The sequence below is a fragment of the Homo sapiens genome, chromosome 6, assembly GCF_000001405.40.
Source record: "Homo sapiens chromosome 6, GRCh38.p14 Primary Assembly".
NCBI lineage: Eukaryota > Metazoa > Chordata > Mammalia > Primates > Hominidae > Homo > Homo sapiens.
In genome coordinates, this window is record NC_000006.12 from 35,803,909 (window position 1) to 35,826,689 (window position 22,781).

Sequence of the window (22,781 nt, forward strand, 5' to 3'; positions counted from 1 at the left end):
TATTTTTTGAAATGGAGTTTTGCTCTTGTTGCCCAGGCTGGAGTGCAATGGTGCGATCTCAGCTCACTGCCACCTCTGCTTCCCGGGGTTCAAGCAATTCTCCTGTCTCAGCCTCCTGAGTAGCTGGGAATACAGGCACCCGCCACTACGCCCGGCGTAAGTGCATTTCCTGCATTTAATAGATGGCGAAACTGAGGCTCCGGAAGGAAGGTTAAGTCCATGGATGGTTACTTAGTAAGTAGCTCATTCAAATCCAGGCCTGTTGAACCCCAAAGTCCATGTTTTTAAGATTGTCTTGTCTTTCCTTAGCTCCGGACGTTGGTGTTATTATTATTATTATTTTTTTTTTTTTGAGACGGAGTCTTGCTCTGTCACCCAGGCTGGAGTGCAGTGGCGCGATCTCGGCTCACTGCAAGCTCCGCCTCCCGAGTTCACACCATTCTTCTGCCTCAGCCTCCCCAGCAGCTGGGACAACAGGCGCGTGCTGCCACGCCCGGCTAATTTTTTTGTATTTTTAGTAGAGACGGGGTTTCACTGTGTTAGCCAGGATGGTCTCGATCTCCTGACCTCATGATCCGCCTGCCTTGGCCTTCCAAAGTGCTGGGATTACAGGCGTAAGCCCCACGCCCAGTGGAATTTTCCTAGTTCTTTACACTAGCCATGTATTTACCTATAAAATCAGGAGAAATATGTATATATATAATATATTAAAACATATATATATTTAAATGGGGAAATATGTAACAAACAAATAGAAACAAGGGGAGAAAGGCATTGTATTTGACAAAACACATATGTTCAGGTCTGAGAAGGCTCATAAAGAATGTTGTCTGCTATACTTTGTAGTTGCTTCTGTTATCACACAATCAGTCTGCATATACAGGCGTTTTATATATATATTTATATAGACTACATATATACGTATATTATATATGTAAATATTTCACTGTCTTTGAGGACGGGGGCCCTGTCTTTTTTATCTGTGGTTTTGCTTAGATGTCCTCCAACATAATCTTAACACATAGTATGCTTTTAGAAATCGTTGACTGAATGCTAAGGACGAAAAACCGGTGACCAGAAGGCAACCAGGAAAGGCTTTGCTGACCTCCGGAGTGGTGGAGTTGGAGGTTCTGGGAAGGCGACTAGGGAGCCAGGCAGGGGCGGGGTGGGATGGGATGTGGACAGCGCTTTTGCGGGGGGAAAGCGTTTTTGCTGCTGGAATTGAGCAGTAGGAATGTGTCAGTCACATCCCCACCTTCCCAATTCTTGTCATCTCGGTTCAGGAAGGTGAACGGTGTTCCGATTCCCCGCGGCGGGGGCCTGTAGTGGGAGCTCTGCCCCTTCCCCGCCTCTGCTGCAGGCCCCGCCCCTCGCCCGGAACCCCGGGGCGCTGGCCGCGGTGCTGAAACGGCGCCCTCCGCGGACGGAGGAGGGGGCGGGGCTCTCGGGAGCCGTGAGCCGGGAAGAGGGAGACGGGCAGGGCGGCGCCAGCAGGCCCTGGTGGGCTTGGGAGGAGGCAGGAGACTGGAGACAGCCTCGGCTAGAGCGGACACAGGCACCTGGCAAGCTTTCCTTGACCAAATCAAGGTTGTCCTTGTCCTATTAAGCCTCTTCCCCTTGCCTTGAAGGGACCTCACCTGGTGCCCTGACCTCAGCCTCCTCCCCAAACCCCGCTGGGGAGTGACCTGCTTCTAGGCCTCCATCCACAAAGCTACGGACTTGCAGCCCACGGGACCCCAGCCCAGGGCCTGCTGCCCTCACCATGGTGAAATTGCTGCCGGCCCAGGAGGCAGCCAAGATCTACCATACCAACTATGTGCGGAACTCGCGAGCCGTGGGCGTGATGTGGGGTACCCTCACCATCTGCTTCTCCGTACTGGTCATGGCCCTCTTCATCCAGCCCTACTGGATCGGCGACAGCGTCAACACACCGCAGGCAGGCTACTTCGGCCTTTTCTCCTACTGCGTGGGTAACGTGCTGTCCTCCGAGCTCATCTGCAAGGGCGGCCCCCTAGACTTCTCCTCCATCCCCTCTAGAGCCTTCAAGACTGCCATGTTCTTTGTGGCCTTGGGCATGTTCCTCATCATTGGCTCCATCATCTGCTTCAGCCTGTTCTTCATCTGCAACACGGCCACAGTCTATAAGATCTGTGCATGGATGCAGCTGGCTGCGGGTAAGCAGAGATGGTGGGAGGGCAGGCAGGGGCCCACCCCGGGGCCACAGCTGCAGCTGCACCATCCCAGCCTCTGCCAGGGCTCTGGGCCTTAAATTTAGCTGTTCTCCTATAGCCCAGTCCTACTCAGTGCTCTGCAGAAGATTCTGAGGAGTTGAGAATCTTAAAATGGCAGAGGCAGAAAAGACCTTAGAGACCAAGCTGTCCAACCCTCTCATCCTACAGATGAGGTTCTGAGCCCAGAACCTCATCTGAGCCCAGAACCTCATCTGTAAGGGGAAGTGACTTGCCCAGGAGCACACAGTTGCCAGTCCTGATTCCCAGGCCATCACATCAGTTTTTGCAGCTGTGAGAGAGAGAAAGAAGGAAGCTTCCATTGTTGGCCATGTGGGAATAGGACTCAACCCTAGCACAAAGTAGTGACACCAGTCAAGCACATTCTAGATGCCTTCATCTCCCACCTCTGGGCTTTTGTTCTTTTTAAGAGTGCCCAGAACTCTGTCCTCATTCTCTCTCTCCCACTCCAAACTGCTCTCAGATTCTAAGGTCTCTTGCTGATTTTGGAGTGTTACTATTATGCAGGGTATGACCTTGCCTATAGAAACTTTCATCTAAATTCCCCTCTTTCATTGTGGAGTGAAAGTCTTTTTTCCTTGATCATGGGATTTTATACTTAAGGCAGCAAATGGAGTGATATTTTGTGAGGTAGAGGAAGCTATTTAGGGTCCTTTTGTTGTTGTTGTTGTTTGTTTGTTTTTTGAGACAGAGTCTCACTCTTTGGCTCAGGCTGGAGTGCAGTGGCATGATCTCAGCTGACTGCAGCCTCAACCTCCTTGGACTTAGGTGATCCTCTCACATCAGCCTCCCAAGTAGCTGGGACTCCAGGTGCGCACCACCATGTCTAGCTAATTTTTTTTGTATTTTTTGTAGAGACGGGGTTTTGTCATGTTGCCCAGGCAGGTCTTGAACTGCTGGGCTCAAGTGATTTGCCTGCCTCAGTCTCCCAAAGTGTTGGGATTTCAGATGTGATCCACAGCACCTGGCCTAGGGTCCTTTAAAACAATGTGGGGGCTGGGCACAGCGGCTCACACCTGTAATCCCAGCACTTTGGGAGAGAGCATCACTTGAGCTCAGGAGTTTGAGACTAGACTGGGCAAGATGGAAAGACCCTGTCTCTAAAAATAATAATAATAATAATAAATAAAATAAAACAAATAAAACTGTGGGGTAGGCAGCTACTTGTGCCTTGAGGCAAAACCTCCCTGGTCCTTTTTCCTGCTTCTAGCTCAGGAAGGCTTCTTGGTCCTTGTGCCAAGTGGTCTTGCTCTTCTCTGTAGCCCAGGAAGAGGGTTAAGACCTTGTGCTGCAGCCTCTGGTACCTTGGTCCCTGCACACCTCAGGGGCCACAAACTGTCCATGTCGGTGAGATGTCCAGGAGTAGTGCCGGGGACTGGAAACTAGAGTGAAACCATCTCATTGGTCAGAATGAGAAGTGCTGTCATCTTTAAGAGGGAGACTGAAACAGGCATCTGAATCCCAGACCACCAAACATGCAGATTCAAGACTGCAGAGTTGGAGGGGACCCCAGAGAGCTATATCCACCCCCCAACTATAGATGAGGAATCTGCTGCTGAGAGAAAGGACCAGACTTGGCCAAGGCTGTAGCAGATCAGCAGGCACCTGAGGACCAGGAAGAATTAAGCGGGCAACTGAGGACCAAGGAACTAGATGTATTCCTAAGATGTTTTTACTGAGCCACATATTTACATAAGTATAATGATCTATGAAATATCTTTACATATAATATCTGGAGGAGCCCCAGCACAACCCATTGAGGTGGGTATTTATCTATTTTACAAAGAAGGCCCCTAGTGGGTAACTTGTCTTTGAGCATACAAGTAGGAAGGCATGCACCTTTGATTCCAAATCTTGCACCCAGGCTACTCACATGGCTTCAGAGTTCCCAGCAAATCCCCTTGCCACCTCCCTGTTCTCTGTAGTCTCTCTGTATGATAAGAGAGAGGCCGGGGCAGGGGTGGGCAGTGGGGAGCAAGGTAGGTGGTGGCCATGTCAAGAATGATGGTGGGGGCAGGCACAGCGGCTCATGCCTGTAGTCCTAGCACTTTGGGAGGCCAAGGAGAGGGGATTGCTTGAGGCCAGAAGTTCAAGACTTCAAGACCAGCCTGGACAACATAGTGAGACCCTATCTCTATTTTATATATATATATATATAAATTAAAAATAATCATAATAAATAATATATATAAATAAAAATAATAATAAGGCCAGCTGCAGTGGCTCAGGCCTGTAATCCCAGCACTTTGGGAGGGCGAGGTGGGCAGATTGCTTGAGCTCAGGAGTTCGAGACCAGCCTGAGCAACATGGCGAAACTGTGTCTCTACAAAAAATACAAAAATTAGCTGGGTTAATAAAAATATTGAGTATATATATATATATTCTTTACTATATATTCATTTTATACATATATATATATATATATATATATATATATATATATATATATGAACAAAGGGAAAATGAAGATTTAGTAGTTTTATGCCAAAGAGGAGTGAAATAGACCCTAATATGCTTGCCAGCTCTTCTTCCCTATCAGGGTTATGGGATGCTGGAGACACAACCATCTCTCTCATTCTCAGGGCTGTCTGCAAACCCCCCTTCCCTGAAACATCCCCCAACAGGTGCCATGTGTGAGCAGGCAGTGCCAGGAGGGGGAGGGGTTGACAGGCCATCTGAGTCAGACACTATCTGGGTAGAAAAGCTGGAGACACTGATAGCAGAGGTGGCCAGGTGCCATCTCATGCAACATTTATGTTAGGGAAGGCAAGACTGGTGTCATGTTCCATTCTGCTGTGCTGCGGAAGGGGAAATGAGCCGAAGGGAGAGATGCAGAGTGGGCGGGTCCCATATCCAGCAGCTGGGAGATACATCTATTCATTAGTACCCTTGCCAAGAAGCCTGGGAACAGGGAGGGGGCAGGGGCAAGGAGGACTGATGCTTGGGCGATGTGGGGCTGCAGCTTAACAAGATTAATTGGGCTTCTGGGTGCCAGGTGTAGGCTGGGAGTTGTCCCAGCTCCTAGAAACACAGGTAGACCAAACTGCTTGTCTTCTCTGAGTCTTGGTAACCTCATGTCTTAGTCAGTTTTACTTAGTTCTATTTAGTCAGGGCTGCCATAACAAATTACCATAGATTAGGGGGCTTAAAACAACAGAAATTCATTTCTCACAGTTCTGGAGCCTGGAGGTCTGAGATCTGGGTGCCGGCATGGCATTAGCACGAGATCTCTGATGAAGGCCTCTTCTAGGCTCTAGACTGCTGACTTCTTGATGTCCTCACATGGTGAAAAGAGGATGACAGGGCTCTCTGAGGTCCCTTTTATGTATTTATTTGCATTGATGATTATTATTATTGAGTCAAGGTCTCAAAAATGATTATTTTTACCCAGGCTGGAGTACAATGGCATGAACACACCTCATTGCAGCCTTGACCTCCCAGGCTCAAGTGATCCTCCCTCCTCAGCCTCCCGAGTAGCTGGGACTACAGGTGCATGCCAGCACACCCAGCCAATTTTTGTATTTTTTGTAGAGATGGGGTTTCACCATGTTGCTCAGGCTGGTCTGGAACTCCTGAGCTCAGGCGATCTGCCTGCCTCAGCCTCCCAAAGTGCTGGGATTACAGGCGTGAGCCACCGCACCCGGCCTTATTATTGTTTTTAATTGACATAATAATTGTACATATTTATGGGCTACAGTGTGATATTTCGATACATGTATACAAGCTGGGCTTGAAATCCAGGCAGCCTGATCTAATGTTTCCTAGCTTTTCCTACTGAGAAAATGAAGGTAATTAGCATATCCATCACCTCAAACACTTAAAACATTTCTTTGAGTTGGGACGATTTCAAATTTGCTGTTCCAGCTATTTGAAAATATACGATAGATTGCTGTTGGTTATACTCACTCTACAGTGCTAAAGAACACTAGAGCTTACTCCTCCTGTCTAGCTATACTTTTGTATCCATTAACCAACCTTTAGCTGCCCCCGCTCCCCTCTGGGGTCCCTTTTATAAGGGTTCCAATCCCATTCGTGGAGGGCCCTACCCTCATGACCTAATCACCTCCCAAAGGCCCCACCTCCTAACACCATCACACTGGAGGTTAGGATTTCAACACAGGAAATCTGGGAGGAACAAACATTCCACTGTACCCCATCTGTAGAACATAGCAGCAGTACCCACTTCAGGGGGGTTCTGTGAAGATGGGATAATAGAATGCATGTAAAACACCTTGCACATGGTAAGTGCTCAGTACCTGTGAAAAACACAAAAAACAGGCTGGGCATGGTGGCTCAAGCCTGTAATCCCAGCATTTTGGGAGGCCGAGGTGGGTGGATCATGATGTCAGGAGATCGAGACCATCCTGGCTAACACAGTGACACCCCGTGTTACAAAAAAATACAAAAAAATTAGACAGGTGACATAATCCAGGATGCAACTGGGAAAGTCCCAGGCACAGCTGCCCTGTGGGCAGGGGATAATCCCCCCAAAAAATACAAAAAAATACAAAAATAAAAAATTAGCTGGGCTTGGTGGCGGGCGCCTGTAGTCCCAGCTACTTGGGAGGCTGAGGCAGGAGAATGGCGTGAACCCAGGAGGCAGAGCTTGCAGTGAGCCAAGATCGCGCCACTGCACTCCAGCCTGGGCGACAGAGTGAGACTCCGTCTCAAAAAAAAAAAAAAAAAAGAAAGAAAAGAAAAACACAAGAAACAACTATATCAGTGAGCATGAGAAGTGATGCCGTAGTAACAAACCACTCCCAAATCTTGGTGGCTTAGAACAACGGTTTATGTATTTCTTGCTTATGGTCCGTGCCAACCGGGGATCGGTGGGGGCTCCGCTCTCACTGTTGTCTCCTGGGACCCTCGCTAGTGGCATCAGTCACCATCAGCTGTCCTCGCATCAGAGGGAAGGGAACTCTGGGAGGTCTCCCACTGCAGCTAAGTGCTGTGGCCCGGAAATACACACATCTCTGCTCACATGTCATTGGCCAGAGGAAGGCAGATGGCCTCACTTAACCTCAAGAGAGCGGAGCAAGGAAGTACAACCTTGCCTTGCACCTGGAATATTCGTGAGCAGCTCTAATGGCATCCATGTCACTGAGGTGGCTTCTGTCTGACTCCAATGTCAATAATAATAGCAGTGACTAACATTAATTGGCCACTTTCCATGTACAAGACATCATAGTAAGCGTTTTCTGTAAATGATCACACTTAATCCTCACAGTGCTGCTATGAGTCAGATACTTTACAGACAACAGGACGGAAGTCAGAGAGGGTAAGTAACCTGGCCTGAGAACACTGTGCTGGCTTCTGCTTAGAGCCTTGAGATGCCACAACTGGGGCTGACACCCACTGTCCCCAGAACCGTGGGTGGATGGGTAGAGTGCTCGCAGGGGACTGTGGCACCAACACCCTGTTTCCAGGTCAGAGGCCCTGGGCTTTTTTCCGGAGCCCCCACAGGAAGATGGTGCAGGAGGGGAGGGGCCACGGGAGGAAGTGATGGAGAGAATGCAAAGCCTGGAAGGGCAGCTCCTTCCCACCTTCACCTCTGCCCATGAAGCCAGGGGCCCTGCCAGGCACTGGAGGGCTGGACTCACATCAAGTCGGGGAAGGGCTGGCTACGTAGGTTTCACCACGGAGCTGTGGATGGCTCCCTCTCCTCCACCGTGGGTATCTTCCTGAACACTTAGTTTTCACTGAACACGTAGGAAGTCTGAAATGTCACCGCTAATTACATTCAGCCCCTGGGAGAGATGTCATGTTCTGGGGGTGGAGGGAATAAACTTTGAAGTCAGGAAAGTCAGGAATGGAGAACTCAGGCCTTGGCCCTGTCATAGCTGGATGACTGGATGGCTGGTAAGTCACTTGGTTTCTTTGAGCCCTCAGTTTTCTAATCTGTAAAATGAGGATATTAATAGCCAGCCCACTTCACAGAAAGGTGATCACAGTCAAGATGGTACATGAAGTATTTTGTGATCTATAAAGAACTATCTAAATAAGCTTCTCCTAAAAAAGATCAAAGGAAGCGTGATACATTTAGGTGGGGAGGTGGGACCCTGATTTTTCCATTTACTGTGCATTTGTTTGACCTCCTGACCTTCTTTGTAGAACAAGCTGGAAGCAGGGAAGGTAACTTTAGGCCTGAAGAGGTGCTTTTCTGAGGGTCTCCTGAGTAGGGTACAACCTTGGGACTAGAGAGCCTCCAGACCTGTGGGAAAGTGGCACAGATAAGGGGAGCACCCCCTGCCCGTGGGGCAGCTGTGCCTGGGGCTGGCTGCCCCAGTTGCATCCTGGATTATGTCACCTGTCTCTGCTTCACCCCAGCAAAGCTAAGGTGAGGGGATGGTTTGATGGAAAGGGATGGAAGAAGTGGGGGGAAAGTGGGGGCAACAGAATTTTTAGCTGTAAATAATAAGTCAAGTAAGGCACAGGGTGTGATAATAACTCTCACAGTCAACTCTTATGGAGTGCCAAGTCTGTGCCAGGCACTGTTCTACACTCTTTTCCAGTATTAACTCATTTGAACCTTGCTGTAACCACAACAGGAAGGTTAGGGTTATTATTATGTCCATTTTGTAGATGAGGAAACTGAGGCAAACAAAGCTTAAGTATGGCTGGGCACGGTGGCTCACGCCTGTAATCCCAGCACTTTGGGAGGCCAAGGCCGGCGGATCACTTGAACCCAGGAGTTCAAGACCAACCTGGCCAACGTGGCAAAACCCCGTCTCTATGAAAAATACAAAAATTAGCCGGGCATGGTGGTACATGCCTGTAATCCCAGCTACTCAGGAGGGTGAGGCAGGAGAATCACTTGAATCCGGGAGGCGGGTGTTGCAGTGAGCCGAGATCGTGCCACTGCACTCCAGCCTGGGCGACAGAGCAAGACTCTGTCTCAAAAAAAAAGAAAAGAAAGCTTAAGTTGCTTGCTCTGAGTCACATAGCTAGGTAGCAGAGAACTGGGTTTGAAATCCAGGCAGCCTAGTCTAGTGTTTCCCAGCTTTTCCTACTGAGAAAATCACCTGGAAGAGTGCTTTTGAAAACAGGGATTATTGAACCCAACCATGACCTAGGAACTAGCATTTTTTTTTTTTTTTTTTTTTTTTGAGATGGAGTCTTGGTCTGTTGCCCAGGCTGGAGTGCAGGGGCGCCATCTCGGCTCACTGTAGCTCCGCCTCCCAGGTTCACACCATTCTCCTGCCTCAGCCTCCCGAGTAGCTGGGACTACAGGCGCCCACCATCATGCCCGGCTAATTTTTGTATTTTTAGGAGAGACGGGGTTTCACCGTGTTAGCCAGGATGGTCTCGATCTCCTGACTTTGTAATCCGTCCACCTCGACCTCCCAAAGTCCTGGGATTACAGGCGTGAGCCACCGCACCCGGCCTCCAGGGGATTCTTAAATTTAGGGACGTGTAGCAACTGGACTATGCTGTACTGGGTAAGAGTGAGGAGGAAACCTGTTTGCTTGAATGGAAGGCTTTTGAAGGAAGCAGCCAGGGACAGTCTGGAAAGCCTTCCTGTATACATTAAATCTAAGATACCTGAGTTGTAGGACACACTGTTATTCTATGTACCATAAAAACAAAATATACTGATAATCTGGCCATGGCCTGACACTTTCTTTTTCCTTTTCCTTTTTTTTTTTTTTTTTTTTTGAGACGGAGTTTCGCTCTTGTTGCTCAGGCTGGAGTGCAATGGTGTGATCTCAGCTCACCGCAACCTCTGCCTGCAGGGTTCAAGCTACTCTCCTGCCTCAGCCTCCCCAGTAGCTGGGATCACAGGCATGTACCACCACTCCCTGCTAATTTTGTATTTTTAGTAGAGAACAGGGTTTCTCCATGTTGGTCAGGCTGGTCTCAAACTCCCAACCTCAGGTGATCTGCCCGCCTCGACCTCCCAAAGTGCTGGGATTACAGGTGTGAGCCACCACCCCCAGGCTAGACACTTTCTTATTGAGCTTATTTCACAGATGTTGTAAGTACGAAGAAATGTACATCTCAGCAGTGATGAGTTCTTTGGGCTGGGACTAGATACCGGAGGGCTTTGAAGCCAGGGTAGGTGGTGCCTGGTTGAGTCCAAGGTGAGGAGAATGGCTGAAGGCCTGGGAGGACCACCTGGTGTGGTGGCAGAGCCGGCCTGGGCTTAGGAGCTCAGCTCTGCCTCCGCCCCAACTACTGGGTCTCGGGGGCCAGTTGCTTTAACTCTCAGAGCCTCAGTTTTCTCACCTGTGTTCTGCAAGAAGGATGGTAGAGGCTGCCTCTCATGCCTCCTGAGGCTGTTAACAGAAGGAGAAGGGAGGTGACAACATAACAGCAGTGCAAGGTGTGGGAGGTAGCGGGCTAGGCACACTCGGCCTGATGCCATGTGCACCCCTCCTTCCCCCTCAGCCACAGGCCTAATGATTGGCTGCCTGGTCTACCCTGATGGTTGGGACTCAAGTGAGGTGCGGCGCATGTGTGGGGAGCAGACGGGCAAGTACACGCTGGGCCACTGCACCATCCGCTGGGCCTTCATGCTGGCCATCCTCAGCATTGGCGACGCCCTCATCCTCTCCTTCCTGGCCTTCGTGTTGGGCTACCGGCAGGACAAGCTCCTCCCTGACGACTACAAGGCAGATGGAACCGGTAATCACCCAACTCCACAATGGTGTCCCCTGCCTGGAGACCCTGGGATGTGGGTGGGGGTTCATCTTAGCCAGTCCTCTAAGGCTTGGTCCCTGGCCAAGGGATGGGGACACCAAGACTAATCAGACACACCCCTTGTCCTCCCTGAAATCAAAGGCCAGTGGAGGGTTGCAAGCTAGCAGGTGATAAGGCGATCTGTGATAAAGGAATGTCCCCCTCACCCCTCTACACTCTCAGAGGCTATAGGGGAGAGAGCTGCAATCCAGCCTTGGGGGCTAAGTGTGGTCTCCCCTAGAAGGAGGCACTGAGGCGGGGTCTCGAAGTAATATTCCTGGAAGTTTGTTGGTGGAGATGGGGAACAACAGCAGATGAGTTGCTGGGGAGGGAGTGCGACCTTGAGAACAGGCCAATGAGGGTGCAGAAGTGACAGCTCCTGCAGTGCAGCTGGTGGGAGCCCGAGATCCCTGGAGGAACAGCAGCCTTGGGATTCTCGTAATGTTCGTCCTGTTTCAATTCCCTCCCATCCAAATCCTACCTGTCAGTCATAAAAGTCAGCTGTAGCTGATCCTTGAGGCCCAAGCACATCCTCCAGGAAGCCCTCCCTGATTGCTTCCCATTACTCCCTTCTTCCTAGGGTGCCTTTTGCTTCTGTTTCTCATTGGGCTCTTCCCCTGCCTGTCTTGGGCTAATTTTTCAGAGCATAAATTTCTTCCCCAAGTCAAGGGCAAGGCCTGTCTTGCACCCCTGTGAATCCCCAAATGCCTGATCTCAGCAGGTGGCCATCACTGGGGACCTGTTACACCTCAGAAACCTCTCCAGTCTCTTTTCCCCATAGCTGTCTTCACATTAGCCCTTGGATTAGAAGCAGCAGCCAAACTCCTCTGTGCACTATAACCAAGGACTCTTCCCACATGAGGAACTTGAAGCCCAAAAGGGAAAGTCACTCAGAAGTTCCCAGAAAGGCAGTGGCAAAGAAGCCCAGAACTCAGGTCCTCTCTGGCCAAGCCCGGGGCCCACTGCTCCATAAGGAAGTGATAGGAAACATTTCATCCTTCTTTGGGGGTGAGAGAAGGATAACCACCTGTTATGTGGTTAAAGATGAAAACAGGCCGGGCACGGTGGCTCATGCCTATAATCCCAGAACTTTGGGAGGCCGAGGTGGGTGGATCATGAGGTCAAGAGATCAAGACCATCCTGGCCAACATGGTGAAACCCCATCTCTACTAAAAATACAAAAAATTAGCCGGGTGCGGTGGCGGGCGCCTGTAGTCCCAGCTACTGGGGAGGCTGAGGCAGGAGAATGGCGTGAACCCGGGAAGCGGAGCTTGCAGTGAGCCGAGATTGCGCCACTGCAGTCCGCAGTCCGGCCTGGGTGACAGAGCGAGACTCCGTCTCAAAAAAAAAAAAAAAAAAAATAGCTGGGTGCGGTGGCTCGCAGCTGTAGTCCCAGCTACTCGGGAGGCTGAGACAGGAGAATCTCTTGGACCCAGGAGGCAGAGGTTGAAGTGAGCTGAGATCGCGCCACTGCACTCCAGCCTGGACGACAGAGCGAGACTCCGTCTCAAAAAAAAAAAAAAAAGAAAAAAAAAGAAAAAGAAAACAAATTACTAGAAAGAGCTGGGCCAAGGAGAGAAAAGATTTCTTCTCATCACAGTAGGGTAGATTCCTATAGTTCCTGGGTCAGGGAAAGGCCTAGATCCCGGATCCCTTGAGGATTCTATAAAGGGAAGAAAAAATGAACTAGTAGGGCTGGGTGCAGAGGCTTATGCCTGTAACCCCAGCGCTCTGGGAGGCCAAGGCAGGCAGATCACTTGAGGTCAGGAGTTTGAGACCAGCCTGGCCAACATGGCACAACCCCATCTCTACTAAAAATACAAAAATTAGCTAGGCTTGGTGGTGTGCCCCTGTAATCCCAGCTACTTGGGAGGCTGAGGCAGGAGAATGGCATAAACCCAGGGGGCAGAGCTTGCAGTGAGCTGAGATTGTACCACTGCACTCCAGCCTGGGCAACAGAGCAAGACTCCATCTAAAAAAAAAAAAAAAAAAAAGGAAATAAACCCAAACATTTATGGCCAATTTATTTTCAGCAAGGATGCCAAGACTATTTAATAGGGGAAAGAATAGTCTTTCCAACAAATAGTGCTAGAACAATCAGATCTCTGTATGTGAAAGAATGAAATTGAACCCCTACCTCACACCATATACAAAAATTAACTCAAAGACCTAAACACAAATATAAAACTATAAAAATCTTAAAAGAGGCCAGATGCGGTGGCTTATGCCTGTAATCCCAGCACTTTGGGAGGCCGAGGTGGGTGGATCATGAGGACAGATCGAGACCATCCTGGCTAACATAGTGAAACCCTGTCTCTACTAAAAACACAAAAAATTAGCTGGGTGTGGTGGTGGGCACCTGTAGTTCCAGCTACTCAGGAGGCTGAGGCATGAGAATGGTGTGAACCTGGGAGGCAGAGCTTGCAGTGAGCCAAGACTGTGCCCCTGCACTCTAGCCTGGGCAACAGAGCGAGACTCAATCTAAAAAAAAAAATCTTAAAAGAAAAAAATAGATAAATCAGCTTTCATTAAAATTTAAATTTTTTTTTGTTTCAAAAGACACCATCAAGAAAGTAAAAGGACAGCCCACAGAATGGAAGAAAATATTTGCAAATTATAATTGGATAAGATCTAGAATCCAGAATATATTAAGAACTCCTATAACTCAACAATGAAAAGACAGACTACCCAATGCTTAAAATGGGCAAGGGATTTGAATAGAGATTTCTCCAAAGAAGATATACAAATGGCCAATTAGCACACCAAAAGATGCTCAACATCATTAGTCATTGTAAAAATGCCAATCAAATCCACATTGAGATACAATTTCACACCCACTAAGATGATTATAATAAAAAAGGTGAATAATAACAAGTGTTGGTGAGCAAGTGGAGAAATTGGAACCCTCATTCACTACTAATGCAAATCTTTTGCAACTGCTGCAGAAAGCAGCCTGGCAGTTCCTCAAATGGTTAATCATAGAGTTACTATATGACCCAGTAATTCCACTATTGGGTGTACACACAAGAAAATTAAAAACAAATGTTCACACAAAAACTTATACACAAATGTTCATGGCAGCATAATAGCCAAAAAATGGAATACAATTCAGTGGTTTTTAGTATATTCCATCTCCTGATGAACAGATAAACAAAATGTGTATATCCATGCAATGAAATATTATCCAGCCATAAAAAGGAATGAAGTAGTAAGCATTGCTACCATGTGGATGAACCTTGAAAACATGTTAAATGAAAGGAACCAGACACAAAAGACTGGTTTCCATTTGTATATCTGTGATTCAATTTCTATAAAATATTCAAAATAGACAAATCCATAGAAACAGAAAGCAGATTAGGAGGTGGCTAGGAAGGAGGGGAAACAAGAGTGATTGCTAATGGGCACAGGGTTTCTTTTTGGGGTGATGAAAATGTTTTAGAATTAGTGATGATAGTTGCACAATCTAGTGAATATACTAAAAGCCATATATATATATATATATATATATATATGTATTTTTTTTTTTTTTTTTTTTTTTTTGAGACAGATTCTGGCTCTGTCACCCAGGCTGGAGTGCAGTGGCATGATCTCAGCTCACTGCAACCTTCACCTCCTGGGCTCAAGTGATCCTCCCATATTAGCCTCCCAAATAGCTAGGACTACAGGCCCATACCACCACACTTGGCTTTTTAAAAAAATTTTTTTTGTAGAGACGGGGTTCCACCATGTTGACCAGGCTGGTCTCAGAATCCTGGTGTGCACCTCAGCCTCCCAAAGTGTTGGGATTATAGGTGTGAGCCACTGCATCCAGCTTGTTAGTGAATTATATTAATTAAAAAAAAAAGGAAGTGCTGAGGATCTCATAGCATATATAAAGCACTAACAATGCCTGCACATTGCAAGTGATTAATAAATTAGTTCTCCCTTTTTTTTTTTGATGCCACAGTAGCAGATCTGATAGTTCTTTCTCCTTTCTGTCTTTCCAGCATATTCACTATTTTTTTTCCTTTGAGACAAAGTCTTGCCCCGTCATCACCCGGGCTGGAGTGCAGTGGCGTGATCTGGGGTCACTGCAACCTCCGCCTCTCATTTTCAAGCGATTCTCCTGCCTCAGCCTCCCAAACAGTTGGGATTACAGGCATGTGCCACCACACCTGGCTAATTTTTTGTATTTTTAGTAGAGACAGGGTTTCACCTTGTTGGCCAGACTGGTCTCGAACTCCTGGCCTCAAGTGATCCACCTTCCTCAGCCTCCCAAAGTGCTGGGATTATGGGTGTGAGCCACTGCATCGGGCCATATTCATTTTTTATATCACCCATCTGCCCAACCAATAACAGCTAATGTGCTTCAGCTGCCTAACAATGCCTTTAGGCACTGGAAGTACAGTGGTTAAGGGAAATCTAAGTTGGAGCTTATGGTCTGGTAAGGGAGACAATCATGCGATACAGTTACAAGCTGATAAATGATATGAACAAAAAAGTGCAAGCTTTCTTGAGAGTAAGAGGAATCTGATGTAGTTTGGAGATGGAGTAGTGTGCAGGAAATTATCCTAAAAACGAGACTTGGTAGTAACGTATACTGTTCTCTCCTTCATTACAGAGGAGGTGTGAAGCAGCTGAAGGGTCGGTGAGTAATTCTATGGGAGGGTGGTCTGCGTGCCCTTAGAAAGGCTGGGGCTCTCTGCTTCCTTACTGAATCCTCAGGCATCAGGACACCAGGGGCTGGGCTGTAAGGCTGTGATGCTGCTTGGGGAGAGAGGACCAACACCCCACTGGGGCAGGAGCTATTTGGCCTCTGAGACCCTCACTGGGGAGCAAACAGGAAGCCTTTAGTTTTACCTGTGTCTTTTTTTTTTTTGAGATGGAATTTCGCTCTTGTTGCCCAAGCTGGAGTGCAATGGTGCGATCTCGGCTCACTGCAACCTCCACCTCCTGGGTTCAAGCCATTCTCCTGCCTCAGCCTCCCGAGTAGCTGGGATTACAGGTGCGTGCCACCATGCCTGGCTAATTTTTTGTATTTTTAGTAGAAGCGGGGTTTCACCGTGTTAGCCAGGATGGTCTCCATCTCCTGACCTCAGGTGATCTGCCTGCCCCTGCCTCCCAAAGTGCTGGGATTACAGGTGTGAGCCCACGCGCCTGGCCTTACTTGTGTCTTGAAAGGCGGAAAAAGATCAGGGAAAGAAGAAATAATTTCAAACACAAATTCATGTTTTATGGAGCCTGGCACACAAGAACAGACTGTTTTTAGAAGTCATTATTGTAATTTGGACCCTTATTTTCAGAAAGAATTTTTAAGTGATTTGTAAGAAACATACTAGAAAACCTAATAAAATAGAAAATAAAAGTCATAGACAGAAAAACAAATATTCAAAAAAGCTATACTAATAGTATTACTGTCTTGAGTATTAAATTTAGCTCTGATTCCTCATAGCCGAGGCAAAAAGAAAAACAGTAAGTTAACCAGTTTTAATGTCTGGTTTAAAAAGAAGCGCAACATATTCATTTATCTTTTAAGTTTCCAAACATTTGTTAAATGTGATTTAACAAGAACATTCAGGAATGCATTTAAAAAAGAAAAAGAGGACCGGGCGCGGTGACTCACGCCTGTAATCCCAGCACTTTGGGAGGCTGAGGTGGGCGGATCACGAGGTCAGGAGATCGAGACCATCCTGGCTAACATGGTGAAACCCCGTCTCTACTAAAAATACAAAAAATTAGCCAGGTGTGGTGGTGGGCACCTGTAGTCCCAGCTACTTGGGAGGCTGAGGCAGGAGAATGGTGTGAACCCAGGAGGCGGAGCTTGCAGTGAGCTGAGATCGTGCCACTGCACTCCAGCTTGGGCGACAAAGCGAGACTCCATCTCAAAATAAATAAATAAATAAATAAAATAGAATAAAATAAAATTAAAAAAATAAAAAAGAAAAAGAAACCCTCACAACAGTGTTGCCTCCCTAACAGCTGCCTGGAGGACCTACAGCCGACCAGGCGCTTTCTGTGGGAAGGAGGGTTTAGCTCCATTTAAGCTGTTTTTATTTTTGCAAAGTGCCTTCCAATCCTTGACCACATATACTTTAAAAATAATCATACATAAAATTGTCACCTCCACCTCCTGCACTTATTAGAGCATGATTCTCAAACTTCAGCGTGCATACAGTCATCTGGGGATCTTGTTAAAATGCAGATTCTGCTGGGTGCAGTGGCTCATGCCTGTAATCCCAGCACTTTGGGAGACTGAGGCAGGCAGATCACCTGAGGTCAGGAGTTAGAGACCAGCCTGGCCAACATTGGGAAACCCCATCTCTACCAAAAATACAAAAATTAGCTGGGTGTGGTGGCATGCACCTGTAATCCCAGCTACTCAGGAGGCTGAGGCAGGAGAATCGCTTGAACCCAGGAGGCGGCGGTTGCCATGAACTGAGATCCCATCACTGGACTCCAGCCTGGGAGAGAGAGCAAGACTGAGTCTCAAAAAAAAAAAAAAAAATGCAGATTCTGATTCAGTTGGTGGGGTGGGTCTGGGGCCGTAGACCCTGCATTTCTAATGAGTTTTTGGGTGACAGGCTGCTCAAACAGGAATCACATTTTGCATAAAAAAGCATTAGAGCATAATCTTTGTGTGTGTGTGTGTGTGTGTGTGTGTGTGTGTGTGTGTGTGTGTTCTTGACACGGAGTTTCAGTCTTGTTGCCCAGGCTGGAGTGCAATGACATGATCTTGGCTCATGGCAACCTCCGCCTCCTGGGTTCAAGCCATTCTCCTGCCACAGCCTCCCAAGTAGCTGGGATTATAGGCATGCGCCACCACACCCGGCTAATTTTGTATTTTTAGTAGAGACGGGGTTTCTCCATGTTGGTCATGCTGGTCTCGAACTCCCGACCTCAGGTGATCCTCCCGCCTCAGCCTCCAGAAGTGCTGGGATTACAGGCATGAGCCACCGTGCTCGGCTCCCTTTTTTATGTTTTTGCAATATTTTTAATTTAGGTTTTTCAAAGCCAGAAACTCCACAGCACTGGTGTACCACAATTTTTTTTTTTTTTTTTTTTTTTTTTTTTTTTTTGAGACAGGGTCTTGCTCTGTTGCCTAGCCTGGAGTGCAGTGGCACAATCACAGCTCATTGAAGCCTCAACTTCCTGATGCTCAAGTCATCCTTCCACCTTAGCTTCCTGAATAGCTGGGACTACAGGCACATACCTCCTGCCCAGCTATAATAATTTTGTTTTTTTTGTTTGTTTGTTGAAGAAACGATGTTTTGTCATGTTGTCCAGGATGTTCTCGAACTCCTGGGTTCAAGTCATCCTCCTGCCTTAGCCTCCCAAAGTGTTGAGATTACAGGCATGAGCCACTGCGCCTGCCTGGTGTACCATTTTTTAAACCAGACCTTGGTTATTAGACATTTAGGGTTGCTATCATAGATAACAAAACTTTTTGCTTCTGTTGATAATATCCCAAGTGGCATTACTGAATCAAAGGGCAACCACACCTCTCTGTTTGCCTTTTTTTTCCTCACACTACATTTTAAAAGACCTAAGTTTTTACTTGAATGACAATCAGTACTATCTTACACATGAATGAGGAAATTTGCATGTCTAGGTAGAACTGAAGTCAAAATTTGAGCATACATAGGGAAGTGTTTATTATTTATTTTTGATACATAGTTTTTTTGTTTTGTTTTGTTTTTTGTAATTTATTTTGAGATAGCATCTCGCTCTGTCGTCCAGGCTGGAGTGCAATGGTCTGATCTCGGCTCACTGCAACCTCTGCCTCCCAGGTTCAAGTGATCCTCCTGCCTCAGCCTCCCAAGTAGCTAGGACTACAGGCACGTGCCACCACGCCTGGCTAATTTTTTGTATTTTTAGGAGGGACAGGATGGTGTTGATCTCCTGATCTCGTGATCCGCCCGCCTTGGCCTCCCAAAGTGTTGGGATTACAGGTGTGAGCCCAATTTTGGTATTTTTAGTAGAGACAGGGTTTCACCATGTTGGCCAGGCTGGCCTCGAACTCCTGACCTCAAGTGATCCACCCGGCTTGGCCTCCCAAAGTGCTGGGATTACAGGCGTGAACCACTGCACCCAGCCTATATTGGTTTTTAAAATGTCAGATTTTAAACTCTTGGAATCTTTTGTTCTTTTGTTTTTCTTATACCACAGGTCATCTATTTCCCAGACACAGGAAAACTAGGGAATCAAATTCTTCAGAGATAAGAACTTGTTCTTCCAAGTTTCCTTGTTCCTGGCTACTATAGGCCTGAAGCCTGAAGCCTTTTATTATAACACTAAAACTGGACAGTCTCCTGAGACAAGACCTCCTACTGTACTCTTTCTGGGGAAGCAGAACTGCAGTGACCCACTTCAAAGATATTCAGAGGCTGAGCGGTGCAGGGAGTGCTCAGTTGCTGGGGATGGGATCCAAGTCCATTTCTTAGTTCCACACAGCAGCAAATCGCTTCACCTTCTTGAAGCCTCTCCTCTGTAAAGCGAGAGGGCTAAATGGGTCCATCTCTAGGGGCCTTCCCTCCCAGGTCTGTGTCTGATAGCATACACACACACATATATATACACACACACACACACACACACACACACACACACACATACATACACACACACATATATATACACACACACACACACACACACACACACACTCTCTCTCTCTCTCAAACACACACAAATGCCCAACCAGCTCTAAGAGGGCACTGAAGAGGTGGCTGGACATGTGCTGGGTCATTTTTAGGGTGAGGTGTAGGGGGTCTTTTGCTTCTCCCTTCTCATATTTTGTTTTCTTATTGCTGCTCAGAGGGGGGTAAGGAATGGAGGGGCCATCAGAACTTGAATCCTTTAACATCCACCAGGAAGTTTTATGAAGAGTGGGTGATAGGATCTAAAATCTCTGCAGACTTTTTTCCTCCCGGGAGCCAAATATCACATTTCCTTATGGTGCCCACACTGACTCAACCAGAACTGGCTACCAGCTTCAGAAATGTGTTACTTATGTTCAAGTAATTTGTTATAGGAATAGATGACATTTTTTTTTTTCAAAAACTTTGGATTTGGCATATAGTCATCTATAGGGGGATTGGTTCCAGGATCCCCTGCAGATGCCAAAATACATGGATGCCCAAGTCCTCAGCTAAAAATAGCGTAGTATTTGCATATAACCTATGCACATCCTCCTGTATACTTTAAATCATCTCTAGATTACTTATAATACCTAATACAATGTAAATGCTATGTAAATACTCGTACTGTGTGGCTTTTAATTTGTATTTGTTGTTGTATTGTTATTTATTTTTGAGACAGAGTCTCGCTTTCTTGCCGAGGCTGGAGTGCAAAGGTGCCATCTCAGCTCACTGCAACCTCTGCCTCCCAAGTTCAAGAGATTCTCCTGTCTCAGCCTCCTGAATAGCTGGGATTACAGGCATGTGCCACCATGCCTGGCTAATTTATTTATTTGTTTATTTATTTATTTTTGAGACGGAGTCTCATCCTGTTGCCCAGGCTGGAGTGCAGTGGCATGATCTCAGCTCACTGCAACCTCCGCCTCCCGGGTTCAAGCAATTCTCCTGCCTCAGCCTCCCGAGTAGCTGGGATTACAGGTGCCCGCCACCACGCCTGGCTAATTTTTGTATTTTTAGTAGATATGGGGTTTCACCATGTTGGCCAGGCTGGTCTGGAACTGATCTGCTTGTGTCGGCTTCCCAAAGTGCTGGGATTACAGGTGTGAGCCACCGTGCCCGGCCTGTATTGTTATTCTTTACTGGCTTTTCTTCCTGAATATTTTACATCTGTGGTTGATTGAATCTGCTTAGTGGAACCCACAGATACGGAGGACCAGCTACTAAATGGTGAACCTTCAGTTGGCCTCCAAAGGGGAATTCAATTTAGGTAATAGTTCATTGTAGCAAAAGCCAAGACCAAAATCGATTCTTTAGGCTGTCCCCTCCCTGGGGGGTGGTGCATAAAAACAGGATTTTGTTGATTGTCTGCAGTGAACAATTCTGAGGAAAAGGTGTTTTTTCTGGTCCTTGTCCAGTTAGTTAGTAAAGAAACTACCTGGGTGTGCTGTTCTCTCATAGGGGAAGTGTGGGTAAAGAGCTGAACAGATGAATCTTGTTGCTTGATCAACCGATCAGTGATACAGGAACAGTTTTCCTATCTTTGGCTGTCAGCTGTGTGTTTGGCCAATGCACTGTGACAACCTGCTCAGTCACTAGGAATGAGTATCCCAGTGTTGTCACAGTTAAATTGGTGGTGGGAACTTCCATAATGGGATTTGATCTTGTCACTTGGTCCATGGCAGCTAGTTTATGAGAATGATCACATTTGTGTGTATATATATATATTTATATTTATATATATTTTTTGAGACGAAATCTTGCTCTTGTTGCCCAGGCTGGAGTGCAATGGCGCGATCTTGGCTCGCTGCAACCTCTGCCTCCCAGGTTTAAACGATTCTCCTGTCTCAGCCTCCCGAGTAGCTGGGATTATAGGCGTGTGCCACCACATCCGGCTAATTTTGTATTTTTTTTTTTTTTTTTTTTTTTGAGACAGAGTGTCGCTCTGTCACCTAGGCTGGAGTGCAGTGGTGCGATCTTGGCTCACCGCAAGCTCCGCCTCCCGGGTTCATGCCATTCTCCTGCCTCAGCCTCCCAAGTAGCTGGGACTACAGGCGCCCGCCACCACACCTGGCTAATTTTTTGTATTTTTAGTAGAGATGGGGTTTCACTGTGTTAGCCAGGATGGTCTTGATCTCCTGACCTCGTGATCCGCCCACCTCAGCCTCCCAAAGTTCTGGGATTACAGGCGTGAGCCAACACGCCCAGGCTGTATATATGTTTTGAGTGCAGTGGCGTGAAAACGGCTCACTGAAGCCTCGGCTTCCTCAGCTCAAGCAATCCTCCTGCCTTTAGCTTCCCAAGTAGCCAGGACCACAGGTGTGTACCACCACATCCGCCTAATCTTTAATTTTTGTAGACACAGGGTATCATCATGTTGCCCAGCCTGGACATTCATATTTTCTTTTGTTGATAAAATTAATTCACAGTCGGCCAGGCACGGTGGCTCACGCCTGTAATCCCAGCACTTTGGGAAGCCAAGGTGGGCAGATCACCTGAGGTTGGGAGTTTGTGACCAGCCTGACCAACATGGTGAAACCCCGTTTCTACTAAAAATAAAAAATTAGCCGGGCGTGGTGGCACATGCCTGTATTCCCAGCTACTCGGGAGGCTGAGGCAGGGGAATGGCTTGAACCTGGGAGGCGGAAGTTGCAGTGAGCCGAGATCGTGCCATTGCTCTCCAGCCTGGGCAGCAAGAGTGAAACTCCGTGTCAAAAAAAAAAATTAATTAATTAATTAATTAATTAATTCAGTCAGTATCTACTTTATGCAAGCTTGATGAATGACAAAATTTGACAAATTCTGTAGCTTAGTGACTTTTCTATCATTTATCTCATAATTTACTTTTTGAAGAGGTACAAAAAAAATTTCCAGAAGTCTATCCTTGGCCAGGCGTAGTGGCTCACGCCTGTAATCCCAGCACTTTGGGAGGCTGAGGTGGGAGGATCACTTGAGGCCAGGAGTTCAAGACTAGCATGGGCAACATGGCAAAAACCCATCTCTATAAAAATTACAAAAATTAGCTGGGTATGGTGGCGCATGCCTGTAATCCCGGCTACTTGGGAGGCTGAGGTGGGAGGATCACTTGAGCCTGGGAGGTTGAAGCTGCAGTGAGCCATGATTGCACCACTGCACTCCAGCCTGGGCAACAAAGCAAGACTCTGTCTCAAAAAAAAAAAAGTCTATTCTCAAAATATTTCACTGAAATGGCAACTTTAGTGGTCTGCAGAAGCTGCTAGGG

The 22,781-nt window shown here is 47.2% G+C and overlaps 1 protein-coding gene across 1 annotated transcript, besides 1 other annotated feature; it reads left to right on the forward strand.

Annotated features, from left to right (window-relative positions):
• Positions 1,313 to 1,482: a silencer, noted in NCBI's record as "silent region_17101". NCBI's record gives its function as "represses an Ori minimal core promoter by ATAC-STARR-seq in GM12878 lymphoblastoid cells {active_cell/tissue: GM12878}" and the evidence as "EXISTENCE:reporter gene assay evidence [ECO:0000049][PMID:35858748]".
• On the forward strand, positions 1,444 to 20,162 carry LHFPL5 (LHFPL tetraspan subfamily member 5). The gene is made up of 4 exons (NM_182548.4): positions 1,444 to 2,174; positions 10,638 to 10,874; positions 15,529 to 15,555; positions 19,074 to 20,162. Exons 1-3 carry the CDS (start codon positions 1,763 to 1,765, stop codon positions 15,537 to 15,539), a joined length of 660 nt encoding a protein of 219 aa, NP_872354.1. The 5' UTR covers positions 1,444 to 1,762; the 3' UTR covers positions 15,540 to 15,555; positions 19,074 to 20,162.